At 39.4% G+C, this 21,191-nt stretch overlaps 1 pseudogene across 1 annotated transcript; it reads left to right on the plus strand.

The window, feature by feature from the left end:
* The first annotated feature begins 12,422 nt into the window (after positions 1 to 12,422).
* LOC112268303 (SNRPN upstream reading frame protein-like) lies at positions 12,423 to 15,882 on the plus strand (annotated as a pseudogene). The gene is made up of 2 exons (XR_007068358.1): positions 12,423 to 12,468; positions 15,534 to 15,882. The product of XR_007068358.1 is annotated as an SNRPN upstream reading frame protein-like (transcript).

Below are 21,191 nucleotides of genomic sequence, written 5' to 3' on the forward strand. Positions count from 1 at the left end.
TTGTCCTCCAGCACCTAGTAACCTCTATTATACTTCCCCTATATATACATTTGTTTATAAAGGATACCTCATATAAGTGGAATCATGCAATATTTGCCTTTTTGTGTCTGGCTTATTTCACTTAGCATAATGTTTTCAAGGTTCATCTATGCTATAGTATGTATCAGTATTTCATTCTTTTCTTTTTTGACGGAGTTTTGCTCTTGTCGCTCAGGCTGGAGTGCAATGGCGCGATGTTGGCTCACTGCAACCTCCTTCTCCTGGGTTCAAGTGATTCTCCTGCCTCAACTCCTCGAGTAGCTGGGATTACAGGCGCCCACTACCCTGCCCGGCTAATTTTTTTATTTTTAGTAGAGACGGGGTTTCACTATGTTGGCCAGGCTGGTCTCGAAATCCTGACCTCAGGTGATCTGCCCACCTTGGCCTCCCAAACTGCTGGGATTACAGGCGTGAGCCACCACACCCGACCTGTTCCATTCCTTTTTAAAGCCAAGTAATATTTCATTGTGCCATATTTTATTGATCCATTAATCTATCAATGGGTACTTAGGTTGCTTCCACCTTTTGGTTATTGTGAATAACCACTGTTATAACTATGGGTATAAAAATACCTGTTTGAGTCCCTGCTACCAATACTTTTGGGTAAATATCCAGAAATGAAATTGGTAGATCATGTGGTAATTATACATTTGACTTGAGAAACTGCCAAGCTGTTTTCCACAGCAGCTACACTATTTTACTTCCCCACCAGTAATGCACAAGGGTTCCAATTTCTTTACATTCTCCCCAACACTTGTTATTTTCTCCTTTTTTTCTGAATAGCCATAATAGTAGCTGTGAAGTGGCATTTCATGTGGTTTTGATTTGCATTAGAATGATGTTGAGCATCTTTTCATGTGTTTATAGGAAATTTGATATCCTTTTTGCAGTAGTATCTGTTCAAGTCTTTGTCCATTTTTAAACTAGGCTTTTTATCTTTTTGTTGTTGAGTTGGGGACATTATTTCTATATTCTGAACACTAGAACCACATGAGATGTATCATTTTCAAATATTTTCTCCCATTCTGTGAGTTGTCTCCTCATTTTCTTATTACTTACTGGGTACATAGTACATCACCCCTTTGATGATGAAAGGATTTGAGGTGGTGGTTGCACAGCATTGTGAAAGTAGTAGATGCCGCTGAATTGAACCCTTGTAAATGGTGAATTGTATGTTAGGTGAAATTTCACCTTAATAAGAATAAACAAGAATACCAGCAAGGTTTAGGGAAATCCTTGTATCTACCAATGTTAAAAGAGTAAATGTAAACAAATGTTCTGCCAGGAACCCCCAGAAGTGGGAAATTCTTTCCAGCTGTTAGAGGAGAATAATGAGAGTTCAACTGTGATTGGTGTGTGATTACCTGAAGGGTTTGATTGTTATTAAACTAATTTTTCCATCATATTGTTCCTTCTAGTCCCAAGTGGACAGAGATATTATAGGAAATACACTGGTGGGAATAATATTTTCTCATTGAAAAGGGCATATGTGGCCAGGTGCGGTGGCTCATGCCTGCTATCTCAGAACTTTGGGAGGCCAAGGCGGGTGGATCACCTGAGGTCAGGAGTTCGATACCAGGCTGGCAAACATGGTGAAACTCTATCTCTACTAAAAATACAAAAATTTGCTGGGCGTGGTGGCAGGCGCATGTAATCCCAGCTACTTGGGAGGCTGAGGCAGGAGAATTGCTTGAACCCGGGAGGTGGAGGTTACAGTGAGCCGAGATCACGCTATTGCACCCTAACCTGGGTGACAAGAGCAAAACTCTGTTTAAAAAAAAAAAAGGGTAGAAGAGCGCATGCAAAGGCCCCATTAGAGCATGAAAAAAAAAATACCCTGTTATAATATCAAATGATTGATAAATTTCATTCCAGCTCCCATTTTTTGAGTGTCTAACTTATTAGCTGAATAGTGTAGAAAGATGCCTGGCAGCCCCAATCTTCAAGGAATTCACAGTATAATGAGAAAGAAGGAAGTATAAAATATTCTGGGCAATAATAGACATGAAAAATTTCACAGCTAGGCGCAGTAGCTCACACATGTAATCCCAGCACTTTGGGAGGCTGAGGGAAGAGAATCGCTTGAGGCCAGGAGTTCAAGACCAGCCTTGGCAACATAGTGAGACCCTGTCTCTACAAAAAGTATAAAAATTTAGCCGAGTATGGTGGCATGCACCTTCAGTCTCAGCTACTCAGGAAGCTGAGGAGGGAGGACCTCTTTAGCCCACAAGGTTGAGGCTGCAGTGAGCTGTGATTGTGCCACTGCACTCCAGCTTGGGGAACAGAGTGAGTCCCTGTCTGAAAAAAATAATTTTTTTTCACTAGTCAGTCCCACTGCAGGAGCTGTCATGACTGAGGATTTGGGCAGATGGCTATTTCTTCCTCTAAGTCAGTATGTTTGGGAAGGGTAAGAAGCTGACTCTCCATTATTCTTAAAAATAGGCATGAATCAGATTAGATTACATGTCTCCTCCTTTTCTCAGGATTTCCCTATAGCTCTGCCACTGAGCTGTGGAATCTTACCACTGGGATGAGGCCTTAAAAGTTATCTAATCCTGGCCAGGCGCAGTGGCTCATGCCTGTAATCCTAGCACTTTGGGAGGCCGAGGTGAGTGGACCGCCTGAGGTCTGGGGTTCGAGACCAGCCTGGCCAACAAGGCGAAACCCCGTTTCTACTAAAAATACAAAAATAAAATAGAATAAAATAAATTTAGCTGAGCATGGTGGCATGTACCTGCAGTCCCAGCTACTCAGGAGGCTAAGGCAGGAGAATTGCTTGAACCTGGCGGGGGCAGAGGTTGCAGTTAGCTGAGATAGCACCACTTCACTCCAGCCTGGGCGAACTCCAGTTTTCTGAAACTCTGTCTCAAGTTATCTAATCCTTCTGTTCATTTCATACTTGGGTCTTTGTTACCAAAAATGACCAATGGGCTTGTGTCAATTAGAAATACTAAATTACAAGTAAGAGAAAAGTCAAATCCCTCTGGCCTAACCAATAAAAGTAGAACTGGGTTTAGAAACTATTTGTTTCAGAGGTTCAAAAATGGCACCAAAGTTAGATTTCTTTCTGCCTATGTTTTCTTGATGTCTGCTTTATTTTAACTTGGCTCTCCTTGTGGCTGAGATATGGCTGCCCACAGCTCCAAGTCTCCTCGTTTCTTTGAGCACATGAAGAGAGGGTTGCCTTTGAAATTCCTCCCAAATATGAAAGAAAAACTATTCCCAAAGTCCTGACAAAATCAACCAATGGCAGGGAATGGGACTATGCTGATTGATTTAAATAGGAATTATGCTAATTTGCTTATTTTAGAATTATAGTTCCAGGGGCGAGCCAGTGCAGGGATGTGACACTAAAGGACATGGGGCGGCCACCAAGAAAAGAGAGGTGAATATTGGGGTGGCTACCACAGGGTCTTGGCTTAGCCATTGACAACATCATGGAAACTCCCACCCTCAAAATACAATTGCCTTCCCCTGCTGGACAACTCTGTTGGTAAAGAAATATTTTCATATTTTCCATGGAATCCAACTCTGAGTTCCAATAGCTCTTCTTGACATGCTATTGCCCTCAGATAGTGGCTACTTCCTTTAATTTATTACTTTGGATGTGCCTTGCCTTCTTTCTTAGCAGTGTCTCTTCTGCCTGAGCCTTATAGATGTTTACAGCATCCAGTGACCCCAAAACTGACTGGCTGTCACTGGAGAAATCCTTACTTTCATCCCCGAATTGAACGGAACCAAAATTTAATTGTCTTGTCTTCTCTATTGCACTTGAGAGGCTTCAGAGGGTGCAAGCCCCAAGCTTTGGCAGTTTCCATGTGGTGTTGAGCCTGCAAGTGCACAGAAGTCAAGAACTGGAGTTTGGGAACCTCTGCCTAGATTTCAGAGGATGTATGGAAACACCTGGATGCCCAGGCAGAAGTTTGCTGCAGGGGTAGGGCCCTCATGGAGAACCTCTGCTAGGGCAGTGCAGAAGGGAAATGTGGGGTTGGAGGCCCCACACAGAGTTGCTACTGTGGCACTGCCTAGTGGAGCTGTGAGAAGAGGGCCACCGTCCTCCAGACCTCAGAATGGTAGATCCACTGACAGCTTGCATTGTATGCCTGGAAAAGCCGCAGACAGTCAATGCCAGCCCATGAAAGCAGCTGGGAGGGAGTCTGTACCCTGCAAAGCTACAGGGGCAGAACTGCCCAAGACCATGGGAACCCACCTCTTGTATCAGCGTGACCTGGATGTGAGACATGGAGTCAAAGGAGATCATTTTGGAGCTTTAAGATTTGACTGCCCTGCTGAATTTTGGACCTGCATGGGCCCTGTAGCCCCTTTGTTTTGGCTAATTTCTCCCATTTGGAATAGCTGTATTTACCCAATGCCTATACCCCCATTATATCTATGAAGTAACGAACTTGCTTTTTATTTTGCAGGCTCATAGGTAGAAGGGATTTGCCTTGTCTCAGGTGAGACTTTGGACTGTGGACTTTTGAGCTAATACTGAAATGAGTTAAGACTTTGGGAGACTGTTAGGAAGGCATGATTGGTTTTGAAATGTGAGGACATTTGAGATTTGGAGGGGCCAGGGGTGGAATGATATGGTTTGGCTGCATCCTCACCCAAATCTCATCTTGAACTCCCACGTGTTGTAGGAGGGACCTGGTGAGAGGTAATTGAATCATGGGGGCAGGTCTTTCCCATGCTCTTCTTGTGAAAGTGAATAAGTCTCATGAGATCTGAGTTTTATGTAAGGGGGAGTTTCCCTGCACAAGTTCTCTTTTTGCCTACTGCCATCCATGTAAGATGTGACTTTGCTCCTCCTTTCCACCATGATTGTGAGGCCTCCTCAGCCACGTGGAACTGTAAGTCCATTAAACCTCTTTTTCTTCCCAGTCTTGGGTTATGTCTTTATCAGCAGCATGAAAATGGACTAATACACTTTCTGTTTATTTATAACTAATCTACTCCATTGTTAAACATTTATCGTATTTATGTACTTTGTTTTTCTAGCTTTTAAAAACTCACAATTTTTTCTTTTATTTCCTAGAGTAGTTGCTAGAATTTTTAAACTGATACATAATAATTGTACATATTTATGGGATGCATGTGATATTTTGATACATATATCCATCACCTCAAATATTTATCATTTCTTTATGTTGAGAACATTTATTCCAAATCTTTTTTAGACATTTTGAAATATACAATAAATTATTGGTAACTGTCGTCACTCTACTGTGCTATGGAACATTTGGACTTGTTCTTTCTAACTGCATTTTTGTATCCATTAACCAACCTCTCTTCATCCCCCTTCCCTTCTCCCATTCTCAGACTCTGATAATCACCATTCTACCTTCTACCACGATGAGATTAATTTATTTAACTCCCACCTATGCATGAGAACATGCAATATTTGTCTTTCTGTTCCTGGCTTATTTCACACTAGTCTGCCATCTTCTCTGTTTGCTGGGTCGTCACCGTTCTTGCTCTAACTTCTTGTCTGTTGGCATATGAGCTGTTGTGTAGTGAACAAAATGAGTTTGGACTTGGTTACAGTTCTGTGAAAAGTTACAAATCAATTTTGATTCAAAACCATGCTGGGAACTCTTACAAGTCTTAGAGTGAAGGTCCAGATTCATTTCCAGATTCATTCATATTGCTTCAAATGACAGGATTTCATTCTTTTTTTTAATGGCTGAATAACATTCCATTGTGTATATAATATATACCACATTTTCATTATCTATTCATCTGTTGATGGGCACTTAGGTTGGTTACACATCTTGGCTATTGAGAATAATGCTGCAATCAACATGGGAGTGCAGATATCTTTTCAATATACTGATTTTCTTTCTTTTGGCGATATACCCACCAGTGGAATTGCTGGATCATATGGTTGTTCTATTTTTAGTTGTTGAGGAACCTCCATTCTGTTTTTCATAATGGCTGTGCTAATTTTCACTCCCACTGACAGTGTATGAGAGTTCCTCCTCCTCTGTACCCTCACCACCATCTGTTATTTCTTATTTTTTTGATAATAGCCATTTTGACCTGGGTGAGATGACCTCGTTGTGGCTTTGATTTGCATTTTTCTGCTGATTAATGATCTTGAACATGTTTTTATATACCTGTTGGCCATTTGTATGTCTTCTTTTGAAAATATCTATTCAAATCATTTGCCCATTTAAAAATGGGATTATTTGGGGTTTTTTTTCTGCTGTTGAGTTGAGTTCTTTATGTATTGTGGTTATTAATCCTTTCTCAGATGGATAGTTTGCAAATCTTTTCTCGCATTCTGTAGGTTGTCTCTTCAATCTGTTGATTGTTTCCTTTGCTGTGCAGAAATTTTTTAGCTTGATGTAATTCCATTTGTTTATTTTTGTTTTTATTGCTTGTGCTTTTGTGGTCTTACCTCAAATCTTTGCTCAGACCGGTGTGCTGAAGCATTTCCCCAATGTTCTCTTAAAGCAGTTTCAGTTTCAGGTCTACAGTTAAGTCTTTACTTTTGAGTTATTTTTGAGTTATTTTTGTATATGGTGAGAGATAGGGGTCTAGTTTAATTGTTTTGCAGATGAATATCCAGTTTTCCCCAGTATCACTTATTGAAGAGATTGTCCTTTCCCCAATGTATGTTCTTGGCACCTTTGTTGAAAATGTAAAAACTCATAATGTTTAGTAAACATTCCAGAAGCAAGGTCCATTTTATCTCATAAGGAAGATGTGAGAATTAAATGGAGGACACTTTAAAAAGTGTTTAGCATAATATCTGTATAATTTATTACATGCTCTATACATGTTCGTTCTCTTTTTACTTCTGTTTATGTAACAGTAAAATAGCAGAAGAACTAACATAACTAACTACATTTTTGTTTAAGGGGCCTTTACCCATTCCTGCATGTAGCTAGGATAATTCTAGAGCACTGAGATAAAATGCAAAAATGGCAATCATATAGTTTTTTAAACTAACTCTGGCATTAAAGGGGAAGTATATAAACAACAAACTATGTTTTGTTAAAGATTTATAGGAGTATTGTGACCTGACCAAGGAAAAAACAGCTCCCAACCTCCTCGGACCCTCACTGGTGCTCAGATATCTGCAGCCATTGCTCGCTTCTTGATTCCAACCCCTTCCTCTTTCCCCTGCCCTTAACATAAAAAGAGCCTGAAATTTGTACTCAGTTAAGATGGTTCTTAAGTTATTAAGAATGGTAGTCCAGGCCAGGTGCGGTGGCTCACACCTGTAAACCTAGCACTTTGGGAGGCTGGGGCTGGTGGATCACTTGAGGTCAGGAGTTCAAGAGCAGCCTGGCTTGGCCAACATGGTGAAACCCCATCTGTACTAAAAATACAAAAATTAGTCGGGCGTGATGGTGCACCCCTGTAATCCCAGCTACTTGGGAGACTGAGGCAGGATAATCACCTGAACCCGGGAGGTGGAGGTTGCAGTGAGCCGAGATCATGCCACTGCACTCCAGCTTGGGCAACAGAGTGAGACTCTGTCTCAAAGAAAAGAAAAGAAAAGGAAAGAAAAGAAAAGAAAAGAAAAGAAAAGAAAAGAAAAGAAAAGAACAAGAACAAGAACAAGAACAAGAACATTGGCCTGCCATCTTCTCCGTTTGCTGGGTCTTCAAAATAAAGTCACTGTTCTTGCTCTAACTTCTTGTCTCTTGGCGTATGAGCTGTCGTGTGGTGAACAAAATGAGTTTGAGTCGGTTACAGTTCTGTGAAAAGTTACAAATCTATTTTGATTCAAAACCATGCTGGGAACTCTTACAAGTCTTAGGTTTTCCCTTGGAGAGGCACCTGTTTTGAATTTCTAGAGTGTGTCTTTCCTGAACAAGATGATGGACCTGTTGTCATTTTTTAGAGATGAGGTCTTGCTCTGTTGCCCAGGCTGGAGTGCAGTGTCACAATCATAGCTCATCGTAGCCTTGAACTCCTGGGCTCATACAATTCCTGTTATTGCCTCAGCCTCCGTGTTATCATTTTTATGTTCAACAAGAGGTTCTGTACATCAGGAAAATTAAACTCTATTTGTAAAATTGGAGTCACTGGAAAAGTTCACTGCATTAAAAAATCTTGAGATTTGGAAATTATTAGGGGAAAATTGGGGCAACCTAGATTTTTGTGACTGAATGCAGATTGTTAGAGAGAGGATGCTTCATTTCCTGAAATCTGTTTAAAAGGTGGGAGGTTGAGGAGAAATCTACCTGACAGGGTAGTTATGAGACCTAAATAAGTCAAGAGTTTAGCGTGATATATAATGGTTAGCTTCTTCTTGAACTTGAACCTACTATAGAAAAAAAAATAAATTTTAAAAAGTTAGCTTCATTTGTAATGTACTTTTGTTTTCATATATTCTAACATTTTTATTTTGAGAATAGCAAGCTTGAAATTATTTCTCTCAACATATTGAACTGATACTTAAACCCATATATATCCAGTGCTGTCTAACTGCAATAATGATTTTAAAGTGGTTAGTATGTAATAATGTGCTGATTTTTTTTGCACGAAACACAGCATATTCTTGGTGTGTAGTATAGGCAATTATTTAGTGATTATGCAATTATATACCAGTTGTCTTGAACCAAAAATCTTTCTGCACTTATGATAATGCTACATCTCATTGTGTTTACTTTCCTGTTTCCTCGTCGTGCATATATTATTTTTAATTTCTCACCAACCATGACTTCCTCCCTTAGATAATATTTCGTCTCTTCCTAACTTGGAGTCTTGTACTCTAACTTTTGGATGTCTGTACTCTTGTTCTTGGGCTGTTGTATTAGTCCTCTCTCATGCTGCTAATAATGGTCTCACGCTGCTAATAAAGACATACCTGAGACTGGGTAAATTATAAAGGAAAGAGGTTTAATTTATTCACAATTTAGCATGGCTGAGGAAGCCTCAGGAAACTTACAATCATGACAGAAGGGGAAGGAAACACGTTCTTCTTCACATGGCGGCAGCAAAGAGAAGTGCTGAGCAAAAGCTGGGAAAGCCCCTTATAAAACCGTTAGATCTTGTGAGAACTCGCTCACTATCATGAGAACAGCAGCATGGGGGTAACTGCCCCCATGATTCAATCACCTCCCACCAGGTCCCTCCCATGACACATGGGGATTATGGGAACTACAATTCAATATGAAATTTGGGTGGAGACACAGCCAAACCATATCAGCTGTTCACATGGGAATCCTCTCCACCTTTATATTTTATTCGTAAAACATTTACTGAAATTCCACTATATTCTAGTCACTGGCACTAACTGGGCAAAAGAAAAATGATCCATTATCATTCCCTGGGCAGAAGGAGTGCTCAGTCTCATGAAAAAGACAGATTATTGTACTATAGGATAATTAACACTATAATAGGGATGGCCCAAAACGTAGTAGAGGCACAGAAGTAGAAGCAACACTTGCTTATGAAACCTTCAAGGCATATTCCATGCCACTGAAAATGATAATCTATTGTGTAATACAAAAAGCAGAGGATTTATGGTTGGAGACATCTCCCATTTCTCTCAAGTGAATTACTCTCTCTAGGCATTAGATTTCTCATATTTAGAGCAAAAGTCTTGAACAAGATCGTGGTTTTGAAATTGTTTCATAGACTATTACTAATATGCAAATAAAGAGCTTCATGGACAAATATACTTGTGTATTACTGGGTTAAACAAAATTAAATTTATTTGTTGTTGGATTTCTGAGTTTTAATAGGTTATTGCAAATTATAAACATTTACAAAAGGAATATACTTCTTCATATATTTTTTACACCATGGAATTCTTCTATATCAGTTAGGAATTTAGTTTGCTACATAACAGTCTCAAGAAATAGTTTTTAAACTCTTAACCTTTAGGTCTATGCTTCATTGAGATTTTATTTTTTATATGGCATAAAATACGGGTCTAAGTTGTGTTTTTATTGCATGAGATTATTCAGAATTTTTTATATTTATTTATTTTTTTAGAGATAAGGGTCTCTCTATGTTGCCCAGGCTGGCCTCAAATTCCTGAGCAATCCTCCCACCTCAGCCTCCCAAGTAGCTGGGACTACAGGTGTATGTCAACGTGCCTGACAAGGTTATTGAATTTTGACAGCATTATTTGTTGAAAATGTTTTTTCTCTCATTGAATTGCCTTGTCATCTCAGTTGAAAATAAGTTCACCTTATTTGTGGGTCAGTTTCTGGACCCTTTATCCTACTCCATTGATCTATGTATTTCTCCTTCTGTCAATGCTACTCTGTCTTAATTACCTTTATAATAAATCTTGAATCAAGTAGTGTAATTCTTTTAACTTTGTCATTCTTTTTCAAAATTTTTTTGTGTATTTCAGATCCTTTGCATATCAGTTAAGAATTTTAGAATCCGCTTGTGAGTTTTATAGGGAAGTTTCCTGGGATTTTGGTTGGTATTGTGTTGAATCTATTGATCAGTTTGAGAAGAATTGACATTTTCATACTATTGAGTCTTCCAAACCGTGAGTATAGTATATCTTCCTATTTAAGTTTTCTTTAATTTCTCTTAGTAATCTTTTATAGTTTTCAATGTGCAGATCTTGCACATTTTGCGTCACATTTATCCCTAAATATTCTATATGTCTGATGCTGTTTTAAATATTTTTAAAATTTAAAATGTCCAGTTATTCACGGCTAATATATAAAAGTACAATTGATTCTTGTGTATTGACTTTATATTCTGTGACCTTACTAAGCCCACTTATTAGTTGTAGATTATTTATACAACATTCTAGAAGCTTTTCTGTTTGGACAACATGTTATCCATGAATAATGAGAGTTTATTGTTTTCCCTTTCCAATCTGAATGCCTTTTTTTCTTGCCTTATTTCATTGACTAGAATTTCTTCTATTCAGTATCATACTGACTAGAATTTCTTCTATTCAGTATCATACTGAATAGAAGTGGGATGAATGGATAGCCTTGCCTTATTACTGATGTTAGGAGAAAAGCATTCAGCCTCTCATCAGAAAGTGTGATGTTAGCTATAGGTCTTTTGTAGTTACCTTTCTTTAGCGTATTCTATTCTTAGTTTGCTTAGTGATTTAATCAGGAATGAATGATGCATTTTTGTGAAATGTTTTCTCTGTGTTTATAAAAATGATTATATGTTTTTTATTTATTCTTTTATTCATATAGTGAATTACAGTGATTCATTTTTGATTGTTAAATCTACTTTATATTCTTCAGATAAACCCCCATGTAGTTATGATAAATCATCCTTTTTATATAGTGTTAGATTCAATTTGCTAAAATTTTAAGAATTTTTGAGTCTTTTTGAACTGTATTAGTCTTTAGTTTTCTTTCTTGTAATGTCTTTATCTGATTTTGGTGTCAGGGTATTCTGACCTTGTAGAATGATTTGGGAAGTATTCTATTCTCTTCTATTTTCTGGAAGATTTCATATAGAATTGTAATTATTTCTTCATTAAATGTTTGGGAAAATTTGCCAGTGAAGTCTGGGACCAAAGTTTTCTTTGCGAGAAGGTTTTTAAACTACAAATTAATATTTGACTATTGTGATTATTGATTTATTCTTGAATGAACTTTGGCACTTTTTGTATTTTAGGAAATGTGTACATTTGTCAATTTCACCAACATCGTCAAATTTTATTGGCATACAGTTTTTTCTATGATTTGAATATTTGTCCTCCCCAAAACTGATGTTGAAATTTAATCCCCAATTTGGCAGTATCGAGAGGTGGGTCCTTTAAGAGTTCTTTATGTATTCGAGATACTAAACCATTATCATATATATAATTTGCAAATATTCCCTCCCATTCTGTGAGTTGTTTTTTCACTTTCTTGGTAGTGTCCTTTGAGGTCCATTTAAAAAAATTGATAAAGTTTAATTTATCTATTTTTTCTTTTTTATTTATTGTTTATAATATTCCCTTATTATCCTTTTGATGTCTGGAGGATCCATGGTGATATCTCCTTTCTTATTTCTGATATTGGTAATTTGCATCTTCTTTCTTTCTCCTGATCATTCTGGATACAGATTTTTACATTTTATTGGTCTTTTCAAAGAACCAACTTTTGATTTAATTGCTTTATCTCTGTTTTTTCCTATTTCCTATTTTATTGATTTTTTCCCCTTACCATTATTATTTCCTTTCTTCTGCTTACTTTAAGTTAAATTTGTTATTTTTTTTTTGTTTCGTTTTTTGTTTGTTTCTTAAGAGCAAAGCTGAGGTCATTGATTTGCGGGCTTTCAGCTTTTCTAATATAGGGATTTAGTGATTTGAATACTCTTCTGAGTACTGCTTGAGCTGCATCCCACAGCTTTAATTATGTTGCTTTTTCATTTTTCTTTTAGTTTACAATACTTTATAGTTCCCCTTTCAATTTCTTGTAGCAGTGAACTTCAGGGACATGTGTGGAATATCTGTGCCCAGTGAAGGCTGTTTCAAGTCTCAAGGTCTGAGGCTCTGATGGAATGCTTAGTCATATATGCACAACTGGCCATGGCAATTGAAACTCAGGAGGCTGGGCGCGGTGGCTCATGCCTGTAATCCCAGCACTTTGGGAGGCCGAGGCTGGCAGATCACTTGAGGTCAGGGGTTCGAGACCAGCCCGGCCAACATGGTGAAACCCTGTCTCTGTTAAAAATACAAAAATTAGCCAGGCGTGTTGGCATGTCCCTGTAATCCTAGATGCTCGGGAGGCTGAGGCAGGAGAATCACTTGAGCCCAGGAGGCAGAGGTTGCAGTGAGCCGAGACTGTGCCACTGATTGTGGTCAGGACTCCAACAACGAAACCAGGTTCACATACATCAATCTTGATGTTTGGGCAAAGCAACCCTAACAAGATGCCATGGCATGGTGCGTTACTCCAGGTGTACAGAACAAAACAGTCAATCCATCAGTGACCTAAAGAACATGCTGAAGGCTACATTCCCAAGGGGTGGCTTGGAGACATGCAAGGAGTAAGCCACCAAACATACTGTGTTAACTCCTTCTTCACAACAACCAAACAGAAGAATTCTCTATTGCTAACCACTGCCACTCTGAGGTACAGGTTAGATATGGGAGTAAGGGATGGTTAGGGATTGGGCACCATTTGGTCTACTATTACACAAAACCAGGAGTCACTTGTTTTAATGGAAGTTACTCTTTTTTTTTCATTTAAAAATATAAAGACTGGACACCTCTGCTTTGTGTGGGCTTGCTTTCCCCCGATCACGTCAACCTTTCCAGCTCTTGGAACAGAATCCAAAGTCCTTAGCATAATACACAGAGCCCCACCTGATCTCCCCACCCCCGGGGGACTCCCTGCCTTCATCTCCCACTGCCTTCCCCCTTCATGGCTCTGCTCCAGCCATGCTGGCGAACACACACCAGGCCCCTGCCTGCTTCAGGTCTTTGCCTGGAGTGTTCTTAGAAATCCTCATCACTGTCCCCTCATCTCCTGCATGCCTCTGCTCAAAGATCACTCCATTGGAGGCCTCCTGGCCACTGTAGCTAAAACAGCTGCCCCTGCCATTCTCTGCGCCCTTTCCTCACACCTGACAATATATCGTTAACCTGAATATTTAATTATTTTTTACCTGCTCCTCCTCCAACTCCCAATGAGACTGTCTGCACCATGGGGGCAGGGACTGTTTCTGGTTCGCTGGGAGGTCCTGAAGCCTAGCACCATGCCTGGCACAAAGCTGGGGCTCAGTAAGAGCCTAATGAATGAATGAATTAGATATAGATAGACAGTAGGTGGAGGGGAAGAAGGAGGGTATTTGGAACACAGTAAGATATTTTATTTTCAGCTCTAGGCTATAGAGGAAATGCTCAACTAAATTCTTAACTTTTCTCTCAGGACTTAAGTTTCAAATGTTATATTTAATACCATAAAATTTATTTTATAAAGATGATTTGGTTTCCTCTTAGAGGCTAACCTTGTCTAATAAGTTTTTTCTTTCTTTCTTTTTCCCTGATGACAAGTCACACATTTATAGAAGAAAATTTAAATGATGCAGAAAGGAATAAAGTAGAAAGTGAAAAGTCTACTAGACTGGAGGTTAGGGATAGCTGTGTCAGCAGGGCTTATCAAAATGTCCCTGTGGATAAAATGGCCACATCAAACGGTCCTGCTCTGCTGTTTATGTTCTTTGCCTATTTTTAAAGGAAAATATCTTTGAGTGTTTGTACACTTAGAATCCAAAGTCCTTAGCATGATACACAGAGCCCCATCTGATCTCCCCACCCCTGGTACCTCCCTGATCTCATCTCTCACTGCCCTCCCCTCCCCTTTAATGTACTGTGAGCTTTACAAGTTTCTTTTTAAAAAAAACTTACAAGTTTCTTTTAACTTGTAAAGCTCACTGTATATTAAAGACAATAGCCTTTTGTCCATCAAATATGTAATCTTTTTTTTTTTTTTTTTTTTTTGAGACAGAGTCTTGCTCTGTCGCCCAGGCTGGAGTGCAGTGGTGTGATCTCAGCTCACTGGAACCTCCGCCTCCCGGGTTCAAGTGATTCTCCTTCCCTTCCTCCCGAGTAGCTGGGATTACAGGTGTGTGCCACCATGCACAGCTAATTTTTGTATTTTTAGTAGAGACGGGGTTTTGCCATGTTGGCCAGACTGGTCTCGAACTCCTGACCTCAGTTGATCTGCCTGCCTCAGCCTCCCAAAGTGCTAGGATTACAGGCGTGAGCCACCGTGCCCTGCCTTTTTTTTTTTCCTCCAATTTATTGCTTTTCGTCTAACTTGGTGGTGTTTTCTGCTGTTCAGAAGTGATTTTTCATTGAGTGGTCAGTTTTATTAATCCTTTGCTTTTACTGTCTCTACCTTTTGTAGTGTGCTTAGAAAGGTCTTGCTCACCCCAGGGTTATAATAATACTGTTCACCTACATCTTCTTCTGGTACTTGTCATGGTTTGATTTTATTCTGTCATGTTTAAATTTTAAGGCACGCCCCTTTTTGGTGATAATAGACAGGTATTGAGTGCTTATGATGTGTCAGGCTCTGTTCCAGGTGCCTTATGTGAATCAGCTCATTTGAATGCTCAGTAAGTCCAGAGATAGGTCTGGTAGATCCTTGTTTTCACAGGTGAGGAAACTTGAAGACAGGGTGATTGGATACTTATGCAAGACCACACAGCTGGCGAAACCTGTTCTGTCAAATGCTAAAGGCTACATAGGGTTGTTGTAAGGATTAGAGTTGTTGTACGTAAAGTCTCTGGAATATAGTAGGCAGTCTATAGATGGTAGGTTTTATTAATTATTATTACATAGCTCCCATAAGCATAATTTCTGACGGCTGCATATTATTTGGAAAATTGTGTATTTCAAAGTAAGTACATTTCTAAAATATTATTCCTTTAAAAGCATGTTTAGAATTCCATGGGAACAAACAAAACTTTTATTTGAAGAAACAATTGTCATAAAAAGAAATCCCAGAAAGATTGCATTAACGTGTGTTTCACTGGGCAATGGGATTTTGTGTGTGTGTGTGTGTGTGTGTTGTGTGTGTTTAAATCTTTGTTGGCAGAGCAGAGCGGCTGGCCGCTAGAGGTCTCTGATGCCCGAGGAGCTGTCAGTGGCGTGCTGGAGAGAGCAAGGGATCACTAACACCTGAGACGGACTACAGACCAGCACGTGCCAGAGGTGGAAGTCCAAGTTAAACGCAAAAGGACCACCTCCTGAGAACCAAGAATGTCAGTTATACCCGAGGCTTCTCAGCAGCAGCAAGCACCTGTGGTGAATTTCCAGGCTGAACTGAGACAAGCATTCTTAACTGAGACATCAAGAAGTGGTTAAAGCCGTATTGGAACAGCAAGGAATCTGATTCCAAGGAAAAACCAGTCAATGTAATAAAGATGTAATCTGTAATTTTTCAATGTGATGTAGATTCATTTAGTCTGTCTTTTTATGTTTGCTGCTTTCATTTTTTAGGAAAAGGCTATTACAAGGTTGATTTTGATTTATTACTTTTTTTTTTTCCTTTGGGATTTTTCTTTTTTTCGACTTTAAGATTAGAATGCTCTCATTTCTGAGGGTTTACTATTTACTTTTTATAAAATAAGAGCAGAGAGGAAGGCGGTTTATTGATAAATTCTCTTCTAGCTTTTCTTTATGTCTTTTTGCAATATTACCCCTCAACTTGAATTAATTAGGCCAATTTATGCCACCATTTTGAGTTTAAATCCAAGGAGACAAACAGGAAATTTCTGAGAAATTCTCCTTTGTTGAATCATTTATACCCAACATTTTCAGTTTTTTTTGTTTGTTTGTTTGTTTTTTGTTTTTTTTGTTTTGAGACAGGGTCTCACTCAGTCACCCAGGCTGGAGTACAGTGGCTTGATCTCGACTCACCTCAGCCTCCGCCTCCTGGGTTCAAGTGATTCTCCTGCCTCAGCCTCCCAAGTAGCTGGGATTACAGGTGCATGCCACCATGCCTAGCTAATTTTTGTACTTTTAGTAGATATGGAGTTTTGTCATGTTGCCGAGGCTGGTATTGAACTCCTGACCTCAGGTGATCTGCCTGCCTTGGCCTCCCAAAGTGCTGGGATTACAGGCGTGATCCACTGCACCTGGCCAGTATCCAACATTTTCTAGTAATTGCATGGGCTTGGTTGCAAGCAGATGGTGGAATCTGATCATTGTCCCAAGCTCTTCCCCAAGAGTAAGACAATTTTTCATTGAATAGGTGGGTACGTTTGATTTTTTTTAACCTAGAAATTCTTTAGCTTATCAGTTCAGTTCACACATTCTTGTAAATTTCTAAGTATAATATTTAAATCATACATTATGGTCTGCAAGTAGGACCATTTAATTTTCTGATATTTAATTATATCCTATTTTATTCTAGTCTCAACTGCTAGTTCTACCTAAACAATACTAGTTTAGGATTTCTTTAGAGCAGCGGTTGGTAACATATCTGGCCTGAAATTTTATTGGAACACAACCATGTTCACTTATTACATGTGATCTGTGGTTGCATTGGTGCTACAGTGGCAACTTTGAGTAGTTGTGACTGATCGAATGACAGGTACAGCCTAGAATATTTAATGTCTTGCCATTTAAAAGAAAAAAATGGCTGAACTTTGTTTTAGAGTAGCAGATTTAAAGAAGAAAACACCAGTGAGGCTACCGATAACGTTATAGAAGGTGATGAATAAAGGATTATAGACGTTTATATGAAGTATACATTACAGGGTAGAGAATCAGATGAATTTTTTGGGTAAGGGATGACTCGAAGAATCATGTTAAAACTTGCTATATAGGTAGATGGGTAGTTTTTAAAGACATTTAAACAATTGGTACCCTTTTTCATTATGAAAATATAAGGCACATGATAGCCAGGAAAAATAGATAAATAAACCATTATGTTATGAATATCAGTTCAATTTTTGTTTGGTACCTAAAAATTTACTAGGATATGCATCAAATTGGATACTTACCCAATTGAGATGCAAGGTGTAAATATTAGTAATATTAGCATGACTTTTAAATGTTTTGTTACATTGTTTTCTAAAAGCATCACTAGAAATATGGATTGCCACTAAAAATTAATAGACCATTAGTTTCTTAGGACCATTCTTTTTATTCTGTTTTTTTTTTGTTAAATAAATATTTCCAATAAAGGAAAAAAGTTGTCTATATTTCAGTTTTCATAAAACAGAATGTTTAAACATTTTTTCTGATCAGAAAAGTAGCCACAAAAACTGCTATATTTTTAAAAGGCTGTGATGAAACAATGCTGCCACTCTGGAAAACAGTTTGGCAGTTCTTTAAACAGTTGAACATAGAATTACCATATGATCCAGCAATTGCTCTCCTAGGTATATACCCCTAAAAATCGAAAGCAAAGACTCAAACAGATTCTTGTACACCAGTGTTCATAACATGTATAGTAGCCAAAATGTGGAAACAACCCAAATATTATCTATAGAAAGAGTAGATAAACAAAACGTGCTCTGTACATATAATGGAATATGACTCAGCCTTAATAAGGAGATTCTGATACAGGGCACAACGTAGATGAACCTTGAAAACATTATGTTAATCGAAATAGGCCAGACACGAACGGACAAATGTTGTATGATTTCACTTAAATGAGGTACCAAGAATAGGCAAATTCATAGAGAAAGTAGAATAGTAGTGACCAAGGGCTGGGAGAGGGGAGAGGGGAAGTGATTAATAGGCTTCTGTTTGGGAAAATGAAACATTTCTGGAAATAGATAATGGTGATGGTTGCACAACATTGGGAATGTACTTAATGCCATAGAATTGTATGCTTAAAAATGGTTAAAATGGTAAATTTTATGTAATGTCCTTTTTTTTTTTTTTTTTGAGACAGGGTCTCACTCTGTTGCCCAGATTGGAGTGCAGTGGCACGATCTCAGATCACTGCAACCTCCGCCTCCCAGGTTCGAGTGATTCTCCTGCCTCAGCCTTCTGAGTAGCTGCAACTACAGACATGCACCACCATTCCTGGCTAATTTTGTAGTTTTAGTAAAGATGGGGTTTCACCATGTTGGTCAGGCTGGTCTTGAACTCCTGACCTTAAGTGATCCACTTGCCTCGGCCTCCCAAAGTGCTGGGATTACAGGTATGAGCCACTGCTCCTGGCTGTAATGTACATTTTTCTATAGTGAAACAACAATGGGCAAGGTGTGGTGGCTCATGCCTGTAATCCCAGCACTTTAGGAGACCAAGGCAGATGGATCACCTGAGGTCAGGAGTTCGAGACCAGCCTGGCCAACATTGTGAAACCCTGTCTCTACTAAAAATACAAAAATTAGCCTGACATGGTGGCACACGCTTGTAATCCCAGCTACTCAGGAGGCTGAGGCAGGAGAATCGCTTGAACCTGGGAGGTGGAAGTTACAGTGAGCTGAGATCACGCCACTGGGCTCCAGCCTGGGTGATGGAGTGATACTCTGTCTCAAAAAAATGAAAAATTAAAAAAAAAACAACAACAACGATAACAAAAGGAGCCAAAATTACCCTCTATCTCATAGACTGCTGGGCTTACGTGAGATAATTTGCATGAAGTGCTTAGCACAGTGCCAGGATCATAGGGAATACTCAGTAAAGGAAAGATAAATGTTTTTCTAATAATGTAGAACTATTTAACTATAGAATGACCTTCTTTGGGGGTGGAATAGTGAGCTCCCTGCTACTGGAAGCGTTTAACAGGGGGCAGAACAGACTTCTTAAAGTTTCATATGCAAAGAAATCATCTGGACATAGTGTTAAAATGGAGATTCTTATTTAAATAGAGTCTGGCTGAGGCCTGAGAGTCTACATTTTTAGCAAGGTCCAGGTGATATTGATGTTGCCAGTTGAGTGCACTTGAGTAGCAGGAGGCTAGATGATTCCTTAGGGGGATGCTGGAGAAGCTATGTGATAATTCATCAGATGGAGCAATGAGATAGATCTCTGCGGCCTACTGCGGGAGCCACTCACCACATGTGGTTATTGAGCATTTGAAATGTGGCTAGTCCAAATTGAGATGTGCTGTGAATGTAAAATACACAAAAATGTAGTATGGAATAGACTAAAATATTTACTTAGTAATTTTTATATTGATTACATGCTGAAGTGATATTTTTGGATGTATTGGGCTAAACACAATATTCAGAATATATATACATATATATATATGTATATATATATTATTTTTGAGGGGGAGTCTTGCTCTGTCGCCTGGGCTGGAGTTCAGTGGCATGATCTTGGCTCACTGCAACCTCTGCCTCCCGGGTTCAAGCCATTCTCCTGCCTCAGCCTCCCAAGTAGCTGGGATTACAGGCACCCACCACCACACCTGGCTAACTTTTTTTTTAATTTTTAGTAGAGATGGATTTTCACAATGTTGGCCAGGCTAGTCTTGAACAACTAACTCAAGTGATCTGCCCGCCTTGGCCTTCCAAAGTTCTGGGATTACAGGCATGAGCCAAAGAATATTAATATTGGGATCGCTTGAGCCCAGAAGTTTGAGACCAGCCTGGGCAACATAGGGAGACACCGTTTCTACAAAATAAAAAATAAAAGCCTAGTCGAGTATGGTGGTGCATGGCTATGGTCTCAGCCACTCAGGAGGCTGAGGTAGAGACTTACTCGGACCCAGGAGGTTGATGCTGCAGTGAGCCATGATAGTGCCATTGCTCTCCAGCCTGGGTGACAGAGATAGACCCTGTCTCAAAAAAAAAAAAAAAAACAACAATGTTTAAAGGGCTATTAATGGAAGGAGATCAAGCAGAATCTAGAGGGTGACACAGGGTTAGAAGATTTTCTTTTTGTGGTAACCTGGGAAGAATATGAAGCTGATAGGAAAGATAAATGGAGAGGGAAGGTGGCTCTCCAGGAGCAGCAAGGAGGAGTGAGTGAGGTCTGCAAGGAGGCATAGGTAAGACTAGGTTCATGCAATATTTACATAAACATATAAAAGATGGAAAAATGTTAATGCTGGTATCTGGGTAGTGGGGATGACGCTTACATTTTACTTACTTTTGTGTGTGTGTGTGTGTGTGTGTGTGTACTGTTTGTTTTTTTGAGACGGAGTCTCACTCTGTTGCCCAGACTGGAGTGCAGTGGTTCGATCTTGGCTCACTGCAACTGCTGCCTCCCGAGTTCAAGCGGTTTTCCTGCCTCAGCCTCCTGAGTAGCTGGGATCACAGGCGTGTGCCACCATGCTCGGCTATTTTTTGTATTTTTAGTAGAGACGGGGTTTCGCCATGTTGGCCAGGCTGGTCTCAAACTCCTGACCTCAGGCCTGCCTCAGCTTCCCAAAGTGCTAGGATTAAAGGTGTGAGCCACTGCGCCCAACCTCTTTTGTGTTTTTATCTTTATTTGTGTGTGTTTAAAATTTTTCTTTTGTGTTTTCCTTTCCCCTCCATGAAGATGCATCACTTTAAAATTGAGGCCAGGCGGGGGAGTATTACTTATTATGAAAACAAAAGCAGAAAATCTGCTTCCCGATGTAGGAGGACCATAAGTTAGGGATAGCCAGCCCACTGACTCCAGCACACAAGGACATAAGGCCACCCTCCAGAAGCACATGACATGAACACACCTATCTCAAGAATTATAGGATAAGCATGTGTGTATGCATGGTGAGGACTAGAAGGAGGCTTTTGACTATCAAGAGTAGCAGTGGATGTTTGGATTTCAGGTAATTGCTACCTTCCTTCCACTTTTGTGT

Source organism: Homo sapiens, chromosome X (assembly GCF_000001405.40).
Source record: "Homo sapiens chromosome X, GRCh38.p14 Primary Assembly".
In the NCBI taxonomy this organism is placed as follows: Eukaryota; Metazoa; Chordata; class Mammalia; order Primates; family Hominidae; genus Homo; species Homo sapiens.